General features: G+C 40.1%; 1 long non-coding RNA gene across 3 annotated transcripts in view; it reads left to right on the top strand.

The window, feature by feature from the left end:
* LOC124902439 (uncharacterized) overlaps positions 1 to 19,976 on the top strand; it is an 820,351-nt gene that overhangs the window by 184,015 nt on the left and 616,360 nt on the right. For all 3 annotated transcript variants that reach the window (XR_007062161.1, XR_007062160.1, XR_007062163.1), the window contains exon 3: positions 3,523 to 3,602. This is a non-coding gene — a long non-coding RNA (uncharacterized LOC124902439). The remainder of the gene's footprint in view (positions 1 to 3,522; positions 3,603 to 19,976) is intronic.

Raw genomic sequence — 19,976 nt, forward strand, 5'->3', positions numbered from 1 at the left:
CCTTTTACTGGAAAAGACTATTGGAAGTAAGAAAAATAAAAACCTTCTAAGAAAAATTTCAAATAATATAGGACAAAATAGAAAACAAAGGAAATAAGATATTCAATATGTTAAAAATAAAGACCTTTGGTTATATCATCATGTGATGAAAACTTTAATTGACTTGCCTTGGGGGTTAGGGGCCTATTTCACACATCATTCCACCACTTAAAGGGTACAGAATATTCTAGACTTTTCCCCCCATAAACTCCTTTTAGTCCATCCTATTCCCTTTTGGTTTTTCTGATTTGGGGATTTACAGCTAATGAATATCAATTGCCATTTGTAGATGTGGCAGATGTGATTATAATATACTCCGTGAATTAGTTCCAATTGTTTTGTTTAAAAAGCCAATTATGATTCTGGAAACTGATTGGAGAGGAGAAAAGTAAAAGATTCACAATAAATTATGGCATACCCCCATTTGGGAAAAGGTGTCTGGTGGTAAGCCACAGGGGAGAGGTTTAGTTAACATTTTCATTAATAATCAGGGAGAAGTAGTAAATAGCACGTAAATAAAGCAGGCAGATCCATCCAAGTGGGCTGGTGCTAATGAAAGAGGAAGCAATGGAAATGGACGTTTTGCAGCTTTTACATTAAGGCAGATAGGAAGCATGTGGGAATATGCTAACTCTATCCTGATATAATATTTGATTGGTGCAAATTTTTTTTTTTTTGAGACAGAGTCCGACTCCATCACCCAAGCTAGAGTGCAGTGGTGCAATCTTGGCTCACTGCAATCTCCGCCTCCAGGGTTCAAATTCTTTTCTTGCCTCAGCCTCCCGAGTAGCTGAGATTACAGGCATACATCACCATGCCCGGTTAATTTTTTTTGTATTTTTAGTAGAGGCGGGGTTTTGCCATGTTGGCCAGGCTGGTCTCAAACTCCTGACCTCAGGTGATCCGCCCTTCTCGGCCGCCCAAAATGCTGGGATTACAGGTACGAGCCAACACGCCCGGCTGATTGGTGCAAAATTAATTGCAGTTTTGCCATTACTTTAAATGCCATTAAAAGTAGTAACCTAACCTAATACTAATTTTCTCTTTCCCAGAACAGCTATCTAATGTTGTCACTTACATCACCATTTCCTCAGTCACCCAGCTCAAATCCTGGAAGTTATCTTTAATTATTTTCATTTATTTATATTCTAAAACTAAATAACACTTATTTCACATTTACTATATGAAAGACACTATGCTAAACAGTTTGCATGTATTATCTCATTTAATCCTCAGAAAAATTCTTTGACGTAAGTTTTGGTTATTTACATTTTGCAGATGAGAAAACAAGAGGTTTTGAGGCATTTGATAACTTGGCCAAGACCTGATAGTTAATATAAACTAGTTCTCTGTATACTTAGTGTGTGTCACCACACGTAGCAGATTCTTCCTTGGTATGTGCTCTTTCAATCTTTTATTATTCTCCATTGGCTCATCACCCGCTGCAGTCATTTCGTAACTTCTATTCCTATCATGAGTCTATCTCAGCAGTGTGCATTGGCCATATGGCAAAAACTACTTCAACTGTGTAAGTCCTGTAACTCCCATGATCAAAAAGATGTACTTACTCCCCAGTGTTTACATACCACAACTAATTATAGTCCTGTAACTTTTAAATAGTGTTTCTCTATTTATTATCAACTTGTTCTAGAAAAGATTAGTCTTTTTAACATAAATAATGTCAAGATAAAACTAAGTACAAAATACATAAGTGAAAAAATGAACACAGAAGAAACTGATCATACGAAAAAAACACTCGTAAAGGCAGAAATGAAATTAGGGTACAAAAATTTATAAGACCCTGAATGTTTACCACCAAATGCAGGGTGGCTTTCATACATTTGTGTGAAGAATTGACACTCCGTTTGTAGCATCATTCTTAAGGATGATAATGGAAAGAGAGAGCTGACTCTGATACAATCTGTGATGCTTGCTTCTAGGGTAGAGAAGCCCCATTCAGCACCACAAGGTTCTGATTATAGATTCATTTGCTGAGAAATTTTGCATGTAGGTTAACATACCTATTTTCAAAATAAAATCTAGAGGAAATCTATTTATCTGTTTTTGGATGCCTCTGGTAGGGTTGCATTGGATGTACTAAAAGTATTGGAATTCCTTATTCTCCAAAATAGGTCAAGTAAATATCTGATAATTAATCAAAGATACAGCATATCTGACAGTAAGCCTTAATGTGGGAAAGCAAATCAAGATCGAAGGGAAGAATTCAAAGGCCACTTTGAATTAGTGGGTTCAACAAGTCACACTAAATTTAATACTTTGTCAAATATTTCCCACAGTATTTGGGAGTTCTTTCTAGGGAGGTGCTTCCCTGTCATTACCTACTTGCTTGTGGAATATTTTTGACATGTTTTTCCCTAAATTCAGGGATGTTTTGCCCTTTTCTCTCCCATTTTCTGATCCCATTCATTCTTTCTGCCTATCATCTTTGCTATATATTCCTATTTTTTAGCTTTCTTACATCTCCATGAATTTTTTTAAAAAGTCCCCTTCTCTCATGACGATACAACAATAATTGCAGAGCCTCATGTATAACCCAGACAGATCAAGGTAACAGGAATCTATGGGTTCGAGAGAATTAAGTGAGCCTACTATGTGGAAAACTAGAGCCCTGGAAAGCATTACTTCCTAGGTTTTTCTATCTCTCCAGGTGACAATGTTCTGAGATTTCTAAATAGGACTGGGAGGTCCCTGGGGATAGTGGGGTGTGGGGAATTCTGGAGTCTGGAGGGCAGCCTACAGGTACAGTGAAAGGTGAGCAGAAAGTCTCCGGCCTCCCCTGTGTATGGAGTCAGCACCCCTTTGGCCTTACTTCTTACCAGTTGTTGTAAAAATAAAAATTTTAAGTACAAAAAATTATAAGGGGAGAAGAGGAAGAAGAGAGAACACATTTTCATTTTATGAAGAAAGGTAGATATTTAGAAGAAAGTCTAACTTAAAAAAATTGAGTCAGATAGAAAAAAGAAAGTGAATAAAGAGGAATAGAAAAAAAAGAGAATTAAACCCCAAATAAAGGTTAATGGCTTAACATTAAAAAATAAATAAAAGGAAGAAGTGGATGAGATTTAGAATAAATGAGAGGAGGCCAGAGGGCAATGAGATAAAAGGTTAAAACCGTGACCGTAAAAGAGATAAAAGATTAAGATATATTGGAAGAGGATGGGAAGTGAAAAGTATAAAAGTTGATGGGATTAAAAATTAAGTGCAGGAAATAACTAACATGCCAAAAGTGAAAGAGCATAAAGATGAAATGGATTTCAGTAAAATAACTCAAAAGAAAATGGAAACAAATAGCATGAATATTAGACAACTAGATGAGCTGAAAGAGGTATGTTGTGTGAGGGCAGCTGCTTTCTGCAGTTGCAAGTCCACAGCAAAAGGGGCAGCCCTGTCATGGGACTGGGAGCCATGTGGCTCCCTCAGTTCTCTGCAATTCATCACAGCCTCTCACACCTTTGTCTCTAGAGCCAGAGCCTTCAGACCAAGACAATCGAACATCCCTGGATATCTGAGATAGCCAGCCTTTCTTCTGGAGAGCTTCCCAGGTGAGCCTGCAGAACATATCTGAAATATTTCCTGGCCTGTTTATTTAAAATTTTGAAATATGTAAAATTCATCAGAAGTTCTTTCTTTTCTAAGATGCCTTTCTCCTCTCCTTCAGCTTACATAGAAACACCCATGAGCTGTGAAATTTTCTACTTGTCATGTGTTTTGATATTCGCTGATAGTTTTATTTGTGTATTTCCAAGTTCTTCCTAAAACGCGAAAGCATGAAGAGGGGAGACAGCGGTCTCTTAGACCATTGTCTTAGTTTAAATGTCAAATTCATGGTGTTACAAGATTTCATGCTACCACGGCTAAGAGAATTTTATAATTGTCAACCCGTTCCCCTGCCCACTCATTCTCTGCCTGCAAAGGCATATCTTTCTTTCTGTAGGAGAGTTCTCCTTTGTCAAATAGACTTCTCCCATGACGGGTGGAATTTGCTTACATTAAAAAGATCGGCTCAAGTTGAACCAAAGTATCTTAGTCATACTCCTAATTTTTTAAGACAGGGAATCTGATTAACCCATCTTGACTGAAGGTAAGGGAAGCAAAGCAGTGTTGAACTGAGCAGTGGAAGAGCTTGGGAGGGTGTGAAGGTTATAGCGAGACATTCTGCAGAGTAGCTGCAAGATTTGATGGAAATGGATTGAAGAGAGGAGGGATTTTTATAGATGGTACTGTGGACCATGTATTTGAATTCCCTTTGTGCTTTTTGAGAAATGCAATCAAAGATTTCAGTCTGAAGTTATATTTGGTTGCTGGGTTGTGTTTCTGTGAATAGGAAACTATTCTAAGAGTGAAACACCTGGATCTTGGTTTTATCAAGGCTACAATAATGATTCCAAATACGTAAAAGCGAATTTTGTGAAGTGCAACATATAATAAAATGATTTTGGAAATGCAATGTGATAGAAATTATGATGGAATGTTAAAAAGGAAGGAATAAGCTCCAAGCAAAAATTGAATTTTCTTCTTCCACCTTTATTTCATTCTTTTTGAGAAAGTACTATGTACAATGTAAAGTGTTGTAGGGGATGCAAAAGATGAATAAAGACATTCTCATTTGCTTATAATTTAATGGGAGAGATAATATATCTAGCAGCAATGAAAAACAAGGAATGAGGAGATAATTGTCAAAAGAAATATTTGTTCAGAGTTATATGGATTTTTCTGAAATAAGATATGACAGTGACCTGAATGGGTAAGAAGGCTTCAAGAGGAGGTCTGAATGTTTGAGAGTCAGTAGGATTAATGGTTGTTGGGGTTGGAATTGGCATAAGCAGTAAGGCAGAGGAAAGAGATCAGCAAAGTTATAGTAGAAAACGCTTACATGTGGCGACTCTTTGGAGAAGAGCAGCAAATGGGCACTTTAGAATGAAGAATTAGGTTCAAGAAGGCAAATGGTCAGTTTTCCAGAAAGAGTTATATGAGCTGGATAATGAATGATCTTAAATGTCAGGATAAGAAATTTGTACCTGCTGCCATTGGGAGACTTTTGGGAGTCTTTGAAGGCTTTGATCTGGGGAGTGACATAATTTAAGTTATGCTTTGATATAGCACTAGACAAAAGGAAGGACTATAAAGAACAGTAACAAGAAGTAGCTGAAGAATGGGGGCAATTGTGTTAAAATGGCAGGCAGGTTACCCACATCTACTTCCTCCTAACAGAATTCCTTTGAGACAATACAGAGGGAATGCTTTCATAAAAGCAATGGAAAACAAGGAAGGGTGATATGGGTGGAGCAGGGCATAAACTTTTTAGATATTTCTAAAAGATATAAAGCAGAGTGGTTGGCTAGATAGAAAAAGGGAGACCAGAGGAACCAACAGCCCAAAATATAAGCAGAAGTTAGGAATGCTATCAAGGTAGGAAAAATTGGGGGACAGTCACACAGGTCTGAATCAGAGCTGGGTCAAGGTGGGTTGATCAGGTTCTCTTGTCTAGAAATTTGGAAGTGAGACTTAGAAATTTCAGTTTAGGCTGGGCGCGGTGGCTCATGCCTGTAATCCCAGCACTTTGGGAGGCTGAGGTGGGTGGATCACCTGAAGTCAGGAGTTCGAGACCAGCCTGGCCAACGTGGCAAAACCCTGTCTCTACCAAAAATACAAAAATTAGCTGGGCATGGTGGTGCATGCCTGTAATCCCAGCTACTTGGGAGACTGAGGCAGGAGAATTGCTTGAATCTGGGAGGCGGAGGTTGCAGTGAGCTGAGATTGTGCCACTGCACTCCAGCCTGGGCGACAGAGCGAAGTTGTTTTCTGTTGAAGTTGTTTTCTGTTACTTGCATCTGAATCTTCATCTATGTATGAGTTCTAAGCAAAAGGTGAGAGTTTTTCAAGGAAGTGGATGAGAAATAACAGTTATTTGTTTTTGAAGGGGGTTGTTGAGAATTGAAGGGCATTATCCCTTGTTTGATATTGCATTGAGAGATGTCAGAAACTAAGGCAACTTCAAAAGCAATTCATTTCACCAATCATAGGTCAAATTAATATTGTCTGACTGCAGTGAAAGGAACAAAGCCTGCTGGAAAGCAGTCTGTGACATATTAATTAATATCAGCTTGTTGACTAATAGTATGAGGTGAATTCCAGTTCGATAGAACCGTAACCTTAATCAGTCCCTGGAAAATTTTCTCTGGCAAAATTTCTCTGGCTTTATATATTGTTGTTTGTTATATTATTTCTTAAAATTGAAAATGGGTTCAATATTCCCTTTCCATCACTTGAATTCACTGTACCTCCTACCTAGCTCTGGTTTCTTTCTTTGTATACCATTGTGGTATCAAGTAACTTCCAATATTTGAATATCCAAAGTACATTCTTCAGACTGCCTTATTCGCCCTGAAATAGCACAAATATTCTTTGTCAAACTATGTCCTCTGGTTTTTCATTTGAATTATAGTCTTGTAGTAAATTCTCCTTTGTGCCAGGCAGAACAATTTTACCCTCTACCGAGCTCTAATTTTTCATTTCAGCCCATTTTCTGGAGAGAACTGGGGTCACTGGTTAATGCTGGTTTTAAAACAGCTTTTCATGCCACAGGCCTTGAACATCCCTGGCTGTGGAAAAACTTGTGAGGGTGGTTTATGTGTTTGTTTTCAGAGTCCCTTTCTCATTGCCTCCTTCCTTCCCCTTTTTTTTATTTCCCACCTCCCAGCTTTCCTGCATGTATCCAGACAGCTTCCTGTCTTCCCAGGGCACTTCTGTGTGGGAGAACTGCTCCCTTTACATTGCCTTTTACTCCATGAGTGTTCAGGCTCCATACCTCTGTCAAAAACATTTCTGTTTCATGTCTACACACATTTTTAGCCATCAATGACTGAAAATATCTTAGAATATTATGCTGCTGGAAAACCAGTGTACTTCCAACAAGAGTCTTTAGAGTGACTTGTGAGAATTTCAGGACTGATGATAGGATGGTCAATGTGTGGACGGTGTAATGGAGTCAGTCTTTGGTTCAATCTGTGACCTTCTCTTTGCGAACTGAGCTTTCTCCCAAATGTCTGCACTGTATCCTAGGAGTGGGCCCTGGCTGCTTGTCATGGGCTCACCTGCTGCCATGCTTTTGCTGATTACACAGAGTGGGCAACTGAGTCAACCTGCTCCTTTATCATGTGAAGTTGAAGGTGGAAGGGTGGCCATATTTGCCAAGTGACTGAAAGGATGAGAACACCAGTCTGAAGGGAGATGATGCAATGACTGAGTGGAGAAGGGCAGAATGAAGGCAGCAGTGGAGGCCTGGTGGGTTTACCTCCTCCTCAGGCCTTCCTGGGTTCAGCCTCACCCTCCAGCCAGTGTGATATACTTGAAAATGGCAAGCAGGGATTTGGGTGATGGCAATCCTCAACTTCAGAATTACTCTTCACCTACCTGTTCTAACCATAAGACTTGTTGATGACCCTGCTTCTGGCGATATTGTGTGGGGTAAATCCTTTAAAGAAGAATTCTGTTTATATTGGTTAGAAATATAATGGCCTATATTAAGTCCAACAGAGCTTAAAGGTAAAAAAAATAATAATGGCTTATAACTGCTTATGAGAAAGAGAGAGAACAGAGTTGGCTAAAAATTTACAGTGTGTGGGTTGGGGACCGAGATAGCGTCCTGAGAGAAATGTTGCCTGTAAAATGAAGTAAAAATCCAGTATGGACAGGAGAAATTTTCATCTGGGAATAATGTGTGGTTTCAGCTGTAATAAATACATCTCTTCTATTGGGTTCCCTGTTTTGTCTATTGGGTTCCCTGGAAGTTTCCCTGTTTTGTCTATGAGCAGCCTAGTTTGGCCTGGTTCCCCATGCAGACACTAACTTTTTTTTTTTTTTTTCAAAATATACATCTTAATACGAAGAAGGTTGGGGAGCTTGGACCCAGAATAATGGCTGATATTTATTGAGGGCTTACTATATGCTTTGCATTCATTATCTTATTTAAAGTTCACCAAAGCCCTATAAGATGGATGCCCTTGTTATCCCCATTTCACAGATAAAAGTAAGGAGTCCACAGGTTAAATAATTTGCACAAGTCACATACCTTGTAGCTATGGAGCTGGGTCGCAAACTCAGGTCGTGTGGCTATAGATGCCAGGTACCATGCTTTCAGCTGCTACTCTATAATATGCTTCCCCTACTGAGAAGATCTATCTGCTGGGAAGCACTGCAGCCTAGAAGGAGAAAAGGGTGCCACATTAGAATATTATGCTGCTAGAAAACCAATGTACTTTTTTTTTTTTTTTTTGAGACAGAGTCTTGCTCTGTTGCCCAGGCTGGAGTGCGGTGGCACTATCTCCACTCACTGTAACCTCCACCTCCCAGGGTCAAGCGATTCTCTGGCCTCAGCCTCCCAAGTAGCTGGGATTACAGGCATCCACCATCATGCCCAGCTAATTTTTGTACAGAGGGGGTTTCACCATGTTGGCCAGGCTGGTCTTGAACTCCTGACCTCAGGTAATCCGCCCTGCTTGGCCTCCCAAAGTGCTGCGATTACATGCATGAGCCACTGCACCCGGCCCCAATGTACTTTTAATAAGAGTCTTTAAAGTGACTTGTGGGAATTTCAGTCCTGATAATAGGATAGTCAATGTAATGGACAATGTAATGGATTCATTACATCGGGGATATCACTAGTCTCCTGCCTCCACTGCTTCACTCACATAGTTGATCTCTCTAGGCAACTGGCTTACTACCTAGAGACTAGGCTATGTTGAAATTTACACAAAAGATACTGTACAAGCATTAAGCAATGAAAACCAACCGATCTTTCCTCATCCTTGGCAAGGGGGTTCCCTTACTTCTACCCCTGTCAAATAGGCCATTGATAATCAAGGTTGTGTTACTTAGTGTCAGGAAGTACAACTAAAGCAGTATTTCTCTCTCTCTCTCTCTGGGTTTTATCCTGGGAAAAAGAAAATACTTTTTATTATTGAGTCTTTTATTGATGATCCTTAGTCCTTAAGGGCAGAACTTCTCAGAGATAATATATGGTCACTATTTAGGATTTGTGAAATATATACCTGTAGGGCCCAGCCCTACGGGGCTTAGCAAGTGTTCTCCCTGTGTGTGGAGATGAGAGATTGTAATAAATAAAGACACAAGACAAAGAGATAAAGAGAAAGCAGCTGGGCCCAGGGGACCACTACCATCAAGACGCGGAGACCGGTAGTGGCCCCGAACGGCTGGGCGCGCTGATATTTAATGCATACAAGACAAGGGGGGGGCAGGGTAAGGAGGGTGGACCTTCGAAGTGATTGATAAGGTGAAGCAAGTCACGTGATCATAGGACAGGGGGCCCTTCCCTTTTAGGTAGCCGAAGCAGAGAGAGAAGGCAGCATATGTCAGCATTTTCTTCTATGCACTTACAAGAAAGATCAAAGACTTTAAGACTTTCACTATTTCTTCTACTGCTATCTACTACGAACTTCAAAGAGGAACCAGGAGTACGGGAGAAACATGAAAGTGGACAAGGAGCGTGACCATTGAAGCACAGCACCACAGGGAGGAGTTTAGGCCTCTGGATGACTGCAGACAGGCCTGGATAGTATCCCGCCTTCCACAAGAAGCTGGTGGAGCAGAGTGTTCCCTGACTCCTCCAAGGAAAGGAGACTCCCTTTCGCGGTCTGCTAAGTAATGGGTGGCCTCCCAGACACTGGCATTACCACTTGACCAAAGAGCCCTCAAGCGGCCCTTATATGGGTGTGACAGAGGGCTCACCTCTTGCCTTCTAAGTCACTTCTCACAATGTCGCTTCAGTACCTGACCTTATACCCACCGGTTATTCCTAGGTCATATTAGTAATGCAACAAAGAGTAATATTAAAAGCTAATGATTAATAATGTTTATAATAATGATTGATAATTGTCCATGATCATCTCTATATCTAATTTGTATTATGACTATTCTTATTTTAACTATTTTCTTTATTATACTGAAACAGTTTGTGCCTTCAGTCTCTTGCCTCGGCACCTAGGTACATAAGCACTTTCGTGCACATATACCCACATGTTATCTCGTTGTTTCTTAATCTTGCTGCCTATTTCTGTTTGTTGCTACCAAAAATTCCAAAATAATAGGGTTCAGGAGGGAGAATTTGGAGCTGAATGTTGGACAGGGGGAATTATTTCTATCCCTCAGATTAGGTGGTTTATCAGGGAGAGGGCTGCTGGAGGCCGATGCAGTTTTGAAAATGGGCAACAAGACATTTCTCAGTCCTGAATCAAAATAAAGCCACAAAAGATCTTCCCATAGAGGGTAAAGGGATTACATCTTTCATATGGGATTTGACATTGTATTTTCTACTTTTTTCTCCCCCTGTGCATGTTGGGAGTGTGACTGATCCATGAAAACTTTTCCAGTCCTGGCTTTCATGATTTTTTTTCCCCTTTCAGAAAAAAATAGTTATTATAAAAGAAGCACAACTCCTCTAGCCTCTCCAAAATAGAATAATGACATTTTCATAGCAAGCGATTGTGGGAGGAAGTGCGGGGATGTTGCACTGGCTGAAATCCAGTGGTTTTTAAAGAACCAGAGAAAGGTCATTCACCTCTTAAAAAGTGACAGTTGTGAAAACAAGCCAATTTTGGAATTTGTCATCGTGCGTTAACAGCATACCCTTTTGTAGTTACTGATATCTGTCAGGGTAAATGCCAGCAATAAAGAGCTTGCTTGCAGGCTTTGCTGAGGAGGTAGAAGTCTTGTATTTTAGGCCTGTACACATTTCTTTGGCTTGTTGGAAGCAGAAGTGGTTGAAAGAGCTTTGGCCTGGGACTTCTGATGCTTTATTTATCCTGGCTGTGACACTGAGGAGCTTCTTGACACTGTGGTTCACAAATCTCTCTGGTTCTCAAGTCCCTTCATCTGTAATGTGAATGAGAGTTAAAAAAGATTAACTCTAAGATCCTTTCTTGCTCAAAAATTCAGTAATTCTAAGATCTGGATAAATGCCAGAAAACACAATGGTCTCTGTATCAATACTTTATTTTTTCTCCAGGAAATAATTGGTTCCTTAAAAGACCTTGCCTAGGGTGGATGGACAGTTTGCCAGTTGCATTTTGGAAGAAAAGCTTCTATTTAGCAGCACTTTCTCTAAACCTTCCTTGACTTGCGTTAAGAGAGACCCTGGTGTGGCCAGATCTGTATCTTTGCACCTTGCCTCCTAAGCCCGAGTCCTCATGACCTAACTTAATATTTGAGCCAATTGCTCAGAGTTGCTCCCTTTGGTGTATCTGTGCCTGGATCTCAGTCCTAAAAATGACATTTTGTTGTTCAGGATGATTAATATTAAAATTGAAGCTTTTGAAAGTACAAAACAAACTAAGACACCATGGAGTCTGTGATGGTCAGTTTTATATGTCAGTTACGCAATCAAACACTAATGAGGGGTTGCTGTGAAGGTATTTTGTAGATGTGATTAATGTTCATTATCAGGTGACTTTAAGTACAGGGAATTATCCTGGGTAATGTGAGTGGGCCCAATTCAATCAGGTGGAAGGTCTTAATGGCAGAACTGCAGTTTCCTGGAAGAGGAAGAAATTTCATGTGTGACTGTAGCTTCAGCCTATGTTCAAGAGTTCCAGCCTATCTTTCTTGGTGGCCTGCTCTAAGCATTTTGGTCTTGCCTAGCCTAGCCCACAATTGTATAAGCCAATGACTTGCAATAATCCCTTAATATCTATCTCCTACTGGTTCTGTGTCTCTGGTAGAATTTTGGCAGATGCAGACCTCAAGTCCTGCATTTTATAGAGAAACTGGGGTTCAGTCCCCAGAGTTCGTTGATGGGACAGCCAGGTGCCCTGACTTTCAGGTCTATAAACTTCTCACAGAACCATATTTCTACTGCCTAGAATCCAGTCCTCAGTGTGGACACCAGGGCATAGATTTAATACATGATGGAGTCATGCCTCCTCACCCTGTGCTTCCAAATGGGTTCACTATGTCTTGGTAGATGGGTTCACCATTTTTCAATGTCTTCTGTGTTGAATGTCCTGGTGGAAATGCAAACATAGTGCCCAGGAACATTACAACCCATGGGACTTTAGCAAGAAAATCTAGTGCTCAGATTTTGTGGAAAGTTACTTAGCAAGATGTTGAGGGATACTGGAATCTTAGAAGAGCAATCCAGCTGCATCTGTGAGCCATGACAAAAGTGTTATAAGGCTGCAAAGATACTTCTTGTCCATGCTTTTCCTTGGAAAAGTAAAGCTCTTGTGTAGTTGCTCTTAATTTTTTTTTAGAATTGACTGAGAGGCCTTGGAGAATCTAATGCAGATGTAGTGGGTGGCTGTTCCATGCATTATAGAATGTTCAGCAGCATTCCTGGCCTCTACTCCCTACTAGAAGCCAGTAGCATTCTCTTAGCCGAGACAACCAAAAGTGTATCTAGGCATTGTCAAATAGCTCTGGAGGGCAAAATCACATCTGATTAAGAAACACTGACCTAAGAGAAGCCAGAAAATTGCACATATGAAGAAAATTTTGCGTATGATTTAAGGGTGTTCCTAGACCTCCCTAAAACCATCCACAGGGACCCCAGGTTAAGAACCTTTGTTATTCTAGGTTCAACTGTCTTTTCTATATTGCTATTTGGAATATTTGTATTGAATTGTCATGTGTATACATTTTGTCTACTAGCTGGAATGGAAGTTCTTTGAACAGAAGAGAGCATGTCAAATATTGTTTTAGTATATTGTTTGCATCATAATAGCTCTCAGTAAACACTGATTGACTGATTGAAAAAACAGTGGAGGCTCCCAGGACATACTTCCTTCCCTGGGAAGCAGTATTGGTTCAGAGCATCTACTGCCCCAACCCTCCCAGCCCCATCAGAGAGACAGTAGCTTTGCTCCTAGTAAAGAGCTATGTTAACTTTGGATAAAGTTGCATAAACCCTCTAAGTCTCAGGTCTCATCTCTAAAATGTGGAAATCATAGAGTTGTCATGGGCATAAAAATAGGTAGTTATGTAAAGCATTTGGCACACAAAATGTCCTATAAATATTAGCCATTACTATTGTTCCTTTCACTCTGCTAGCGCAGTCCCTGGTTGACATGGTGGTCACACAGGTTTGGGAGGACCTGGGATGTCTCAAGGCAGTGAGGAAGGCTGCAGAGGGGTTTGTTGCTATGTAAGTGTGTTGGGGGTGGGCAGGGTATGAGTTCCCAGCTGAGGTTGAATTTAGAACTCACCCACCTAGGATGATGGTTTCGTTTGGTTCCACAGTCTTCAGTGCCTCTGTCTGCAAAGGTGGTCCTTTGGGGCAGAGGATACAGCTGGCCTCTGAACCTCCCTCACATGGTCCAGAGGGGCTATGATTACTAATATGCATTGGTTTCTCAGGGCATCTTAGCAGCAGGAAACAAAGCTTGCATATTTTTGGGAGCAGGAAGTAAACAGCGTACCTTCCCCTGCAGGGTAATTAGAAAAGCAAAGAGTTTGTGCTGGGAAATAAGGTAGGGAGCCAGTTGTTCAGAAAATACTCAAAACAGCCACTTGACAGGGGTCCCCTGGAGGACCCTTGAGGTGTGTGGAACTGGGGCAGTTCAGGTGGAAAAATTCCCCTTCCTCCTTGGAAAAGGGGTAACCTTAAGACAAAATGTTCTAAGCAGCTCTTGGTTCCTTCTGCCAGAGCTGCTCAGAGATGAGCTCCCTGCCCAATTAAGCAGCCTCTATGGAGATTGCTTTCATCAAGCCTTGTTAAGAGGGAAAATAACAGAATGTGCTCACTACTTTCAAATTTACTTTGAAGCTTGCATTTATCTGCCAGAGGGAAATGTTCATCTTTCCTGTGAGCTGGTGGGTGAGCCCTGGAATTAATAGGTGATGTTTCCATAAATACGGCTCAGTTCAGCACTACCATTATACCTTTTTATTGCTAGGGATTAATGAACAGGAAAAGGAAGACTCTTTGTAGGGCATAAAGACATAGAGAGGTGTTTGGTAAGAAAACTCTCAGATCTCATCCAGAGTTTGAAGACTCAGGGCTTTGCATGCTGCTTTTCAACCACCATTCAGTCATTGGAAACAGGTGACAGAGTCAGCCAACTGCTGCACTAAACACCCTTGAGCATCGCTTTTTTAATGTAGACTTGTCCCTCAAATTCTTTATTGGCTCTCCAATAGCAATACATGATTGGTATTATATACTAACCATTACCTTATATGCTATTAAATTATTTCTTATTATTCTTCTATATTTCTTCTTTTTTAAATTTCCATTTTTATTTTAGATTCAGGGGGTACATGTGCAGGTTTGTGACAAGGGTATATTCTGTGGTGCTGAGGTTTGGACTTCTACTGATCCTGTTACCCAGGCGGTGAGCATAGTACCTAATAGGAAGTTTTTCAGCCTTCAACCCCCTCCTCCTCTCCCTCCTTTTGGAGTCCCAGGTGTCTATTCTTCCCATCTTTATGTCCATGTGAACCCAAGATTTAGCCTCCACTTATAAGTGAGAACATGTGATATTTGGTTTTCTGTTTCTGTGTTAGCTCATTTGGGATAACAACCTCCAGCTGCATTCATGTCGCTGTAGAGGACAGGATTTCATTTTTCTATGGCTGCATAATATTCCATGGTATACAAGTATCAAATTTTCTTTATCCAGTCCACCACTGGTGGGCACCTAGGTTGATTCCGTGTCTTTGGTATTTGAATAGTGCTGCAACGAGCATACTAGCACATGTGTCTTTTTGGTAGGATGATGTATATTCCCAGGAATGAGATTGCTGAGTCGAATAGTAGTTCTATTTTTATTTCTTCAAGAAATCTCCAAACTGCATTCCACAGGGGCTGAACTAATTTGCATTCCCACCAACAGTGTATAAGTGTTCTCTTTTCTCCACAACCTCGCCAACGTCTGGTTTTTTTTTTTTTTTTTTGGCTCTTTCATAATAGCCATTCTGACTGGTGTGAGATGATATCTCATTGTGCTTTTGATTTGCATTTCTCTGATGATTAGTTATGTGGAGCATTTTTTCATACATTTATTGGCTGCTTGTGTGTCTTCTTTTGAAAAGTGTCTGATCATCTCCTCTGCCCACTTTTTATTAGGATTGTTTGTTTTATTCTTGTTGATTCATTTAAGTTCCTTGTAAATTCTAGATATTTGTCCTTTGTTGGATGCATAATTGGTAAATATTTTCTTCCATTCTGTAGGTTGTCTATTTACTCTGCTGAAAGTCTCTTTTGCTGTGCAGAAGCTCTTCTGTTTAATTAAGTCCTGTTTGTCTACTTTTGATTTTTTTGCATTTGCTTTTGGGGGTCTTCATCATAAATTATTTGCCTAGGCCAATGTCTAGAGGAGTATTTTCTGGGCTTTCTTCTGTAATTTTTATAGTTTGAAGTCTTACATTTAAGTCTTTAATTCATCTTGAGTTAATTTTTGTATATGGTGAGAAGTAGGAGTCCAGTTTCATTCTTCTGCATATGGTTAGCCAGTTTTCCCAGCACAATTTGTTGAATAGAGTGTCCTTTTCCCATTGCTTATTTTTGTCAACTTTGTTGAAGATGAGTTGGTTGTAGATGTGCGTCTTTATTCCTGGGTTCTCTATAGTGTTCCATTTGTCTATGTGTCTGTTTTTCTACTAGTACCATGCAGTTTCGGTTACTACAGCCTTGTAGTATAATTTGAAGCCCGGTAATGTTATGCCTCTGGCTTTGTTCTTTTTGCTTGGGATTGCTTTGCTTAGCCTAGATTTCAGGATTGCTCACAATCTAGCCTCATGCTACCTCATCAACAACTAATTGTAGAATGATTGATAAATGAGATAATCTATTTAACATACTTAAGCATAGTATCTAGGACACGGTGGAAAATCATTAGAGTTTATCAATATTATGTTTATTTGCAAAAGCCATTTGTTTTGTCTGCTCAGCATCCATTCACTATTCTTCTTCTTGTCATAGTATGCCTACCTTAAATAATCTCCCTTTTCCAGTCATGTTCATGTATTATGAGGAAATTGGCCAGTCATAGTGCCTCATCTCCCTGGCCACAGAGCTTGAATTAGAAATGGATATGTGACTTAAACTGGGCAAAGAAGAAATCCTTCCTGCCGTTTTTCAAACAGGAGCTGGAAGCAAAGCTCCTTAGCTTTTCGTTTTTTCTCTGGACATATTGTTCAGATATAAGCCCAGAGCATCTGTGGCCATATTTTTATCTCATGGGGACAGGTGACCAAGAGAGAAAAGTCAAAGAATAGGAAAACACCTAAAGATGGGTATATAATTTTTATATAAATATAGATGAAAATATGAAGAAAGGGGAAAATATTAAAATCCCTGGCTCTAGTAGTTTTTAAGTCCATCCATATCTGTAAGTTTCATCGTATTGGACATGTGAGCCTATAACTATTTGCTTTTGTGTTTAACTAATTTAAAGTGGCTTTTAACATCTTGGTGGCTACTTGGAATATAAGGAAAGCACAGCTCCACCCTTAAGGAATTCTATTTCTTGTGGTAAATAGAAACATGAATATCACAAGTAGTCATGGTTTCACTAGCAAAAGTGTGTCCTGGACAGTGGCATGCATCGTGAAAGCCACTCTCCTAACATGTCCCCCTTGTCTAGCCTCCTAGTTTCTAGTTTGTGATGGCTCAAGAGTTGTCTGGGGTCTGAGCATATGATTACAAGGAGTATCAGTGAGAGTTTCTTTTGCTCTGTTCCTGTGCTGCCTGGAATTCCCTGTGGCTTATGACATTTCAATAAGTGATGATGGTTCTGCAGATAGTGCAGGGCTTTCTTCCTGAGAGTGAGAGTGTCTGAGTCTCCCTCAAAAGGGACTCCATAAAGAGGACTCTTTACTTAAAGTCCGTAGACTTTGTGTGGAGATGTCCATGAATGGGCTTAAGGATAGGTAATGTTACACATCATTTCTAGGGCACATGATTTTTTTGGGAGTGGTTGGAGAGAGAGAATCTATAGCCTTTGTCAGGTTCTCAAAAAGGTCCTTCAGCCAAAAAAAAAATGCTCCACAGGGAGGTCTTGTAGAAGAATTTCCAAAATAAAAAGTGACTGCAAAGAGGAATGCAAAAAGAATCTTCATGTGTCTTGGATCTCTGGAGCAAATGGGGAATTTTTCTGGTGTCACATAGTGACAACCCAGGTGGCTGAGAGTCACAAAGACATGTATGGTGTCTCTTCAAAAGGAATCTCCCAGGACATTCAACCAAGGACCTCTGCCAATTTCAAGAGGTAGAGGAAGATCATCCTTAGATTTCCAGTTAGGTGATAATGGGGTAAAATACCAATAGTTGATCGTCTTTCTGCTTGGAATGACCTCCTGATATTCACATGACTTTCTCACTTCCTTTAGGGCTCTACGAAGTTGTTCCCCTTTATTACTGAGAGACTTTGTGTCACTATACTATTTAAAATGGCACAATCAACATCTCTACCCTGAAATTTGTTATTTCCTTATCTAGCTTTATTATCTTCTAGTATATATCATGCATTAAGACACCATTTATTCACTTATGTAGCTTAGTCACATATTTATTTACATTTAGCAGAATGTAAGGTCCATGAGAAAACGAACTATGCCTTGTTTATATGCTGTATCTCCAGCATTGAGAACAATTCCAGGCACAAAGTGTCTGTTGAATGAATGAATAAAAGAATGTCTTCTCTGTGTTCTTCTACCTAAGTATTAATTCTTCTCTTTCCTTCTTGTAAAGATAGCCTAGTATGAAAATTAAAAGCACAGACTCTAGTGCCAGATAGCTTGGATTAAATCCCAGCTTTGCCCTGAAAATATCTTTATTGATAACAGTTACAATGATAAATGAGATGAAGAAGATTTACTTGTCTTGAGAGAGGCATGAAGACAGCTGAATCTCTTCTACCTAATTCTACAGAAACAGAGGGTCTATCATGAGTCATGAATAGACCTTGGGTTCTACTCTCAGCTCTGCCACATGCTAGCTGGCAAAACTTGGTCAGATTACTTGACTTCTCATGCCTTAATTTTTTCATCTTTCAAACAGTGCTCCACTCATACTACCTGTGAGAGAATGTGTTAAAACACTTAGCACAATGCTAAAGCATGAATTAGTGCTTGGTGAATGTTAGGAGTTATTGGGATACATAGTAAGTGCTCAGCAAAAGTTAAATGTTATCATGCAGTCTCTTCTGACCACTCTAGTATTTTTCCATGCTCTTCTTATGATTTATATCTGATCCACACTTTAGCTGTATTGATCTCTGTGTGTGTGTGGTGTGTAATATTTTCTCAACTAGATTAAATTCCTTAAAAGCTCATACTTTTGACCTTCAGAGGGCACAGCCTAACATTGAGCACATAATCCTCTTAGCTTATGGTGAATGTTTGGAATAGGGCATCCTGTCCTCCCTGGTCTGTTATTTTCTCTGTTCTTTTCATTTTAAGGAAAGGAATCTCTCTTAAAACACACTCATCCTCTTCCCTTATCTCTCAGAGACAGGCTCTGTGCATATATGGGGCTCCAGTTATGTCAAATGTCTGCCTCTTGCTTGCTGATACCTTACATGAGGAAGTACCTAATCCACCTATTGATTTCTTCTTGACTCAGGACCCATCTAAATGGCTCTGGAGTAAACAGCTTATTTCTTTTTGGATGGAGGAATGTCACTACAACCTTGCGTGAAGCCTGACCTCTTTCTTCCTTGATTTTTCCATCTATAAAATCGAGATTATAAAAGACTCTAGGTAAATTTATAGGAAGCCTGGGAAAATTTCTACCAATACTTCTGTCTGTGGCATCATGTGAAAGAGAGTCTAATTCTCAATATTAGAAAATTGGAGCATTGCTGCCAGTCTACTTCAGTGGTTGCTTTCACTTCTGGTTTAGTTTGCTTGAAATATATCAATAACTGGAGATTTCCAGGTGGAAATCCCATAGAATTTCAGGCCAAAAACTATTTTTTGGGAGGTCAGGTGCTTGAGAAAATTCTGTTTCTTAATATCTCTGCTCAAATGTCACATCTTTAGGCAGCCCTCCCTGACCTTACAATTAAGGACACTTTCCCCATTACACACACTCACAGAGCCCTGTAGCTTTACTTCAAAGTCCTTATCAGAGTTTGGAAATAGTTATTGATCTGTGTGGTTATCTGGTTAATGTCTGTTTTCCCCGCTACACTGCAAGATCCCCAAGGCCAGGAATGACTTTGCTCAACAGTGTCTGGTACACAGTAGTAACTCATGAAAGTTTTCTTCAATAGCGAATCAATGAAGAGAAATGCTCTGTTGGTGAGGAAATAGAAAAGAACCTGATTCTTTTCAAACCAGGAAAGGCCTGATGGTTTTACTCTGTGCTTCCTTGGAAGGCCTGTCTTCTCATTTTTAATCAGGAAGACAGGCTGGCAAATAACTATCGAATGCAGCTGGTCTGAAACTCACGGAAACAACGTCTTGCTGACACATGTCTGTAGGCTCTTGGTAATGCCTAAGTCCATGCATTAAACCTCATAAATAGTGTCTGATGAGAAAAGTAGTGATTTGGATCAAAATGGGAGAGGAGTCAGAGGGCAGTTCCAGAACGTGATGGAAATCATGTAGCTCTTCCTTTAGGACTGCTGAGTCTAGATGGGCTGCAATGTGGGTCATTACTAAAAAAAAAAAAATTTCACTGTTGGGCAATCATAAACATCCATGGTGTCCAGAGAAACAGGCGTCTCTTTTTCTCATTGAGTCCCTTTTAGTCTTTGCAAATTCTGGGAGTCGCATCTCACACATATCCGACTCCTTTTCTTTTCTTACATACTTTCGATTAGTCAGCTTCTTCCAGGGGCCCAGCACTTTTCTGGATAGCTCCAAGCCCCCTTGAGGCTCTGAGTGTTTCCTCACTTGATTTTCAAGGACCCCTAGAGGCCTCGAATGAGTGCGGCTGTGGCAACTTCAATTTCCTT

The sequence above is a fragment of the Homo sapiens genome, chromosome 10 (genome assembly GCF_000001405.40).
Source record: "Homo sapiens chromosome 10, GRCh38.p14 Primary Assembly".
In the NCBI taxonomy this organism is placed as follows: domain Eukaryota; kingdom Metazoa; phylum Chordata; class Mammalia; order Primates; family Hominidae; genus Homo; species Homo sapiens.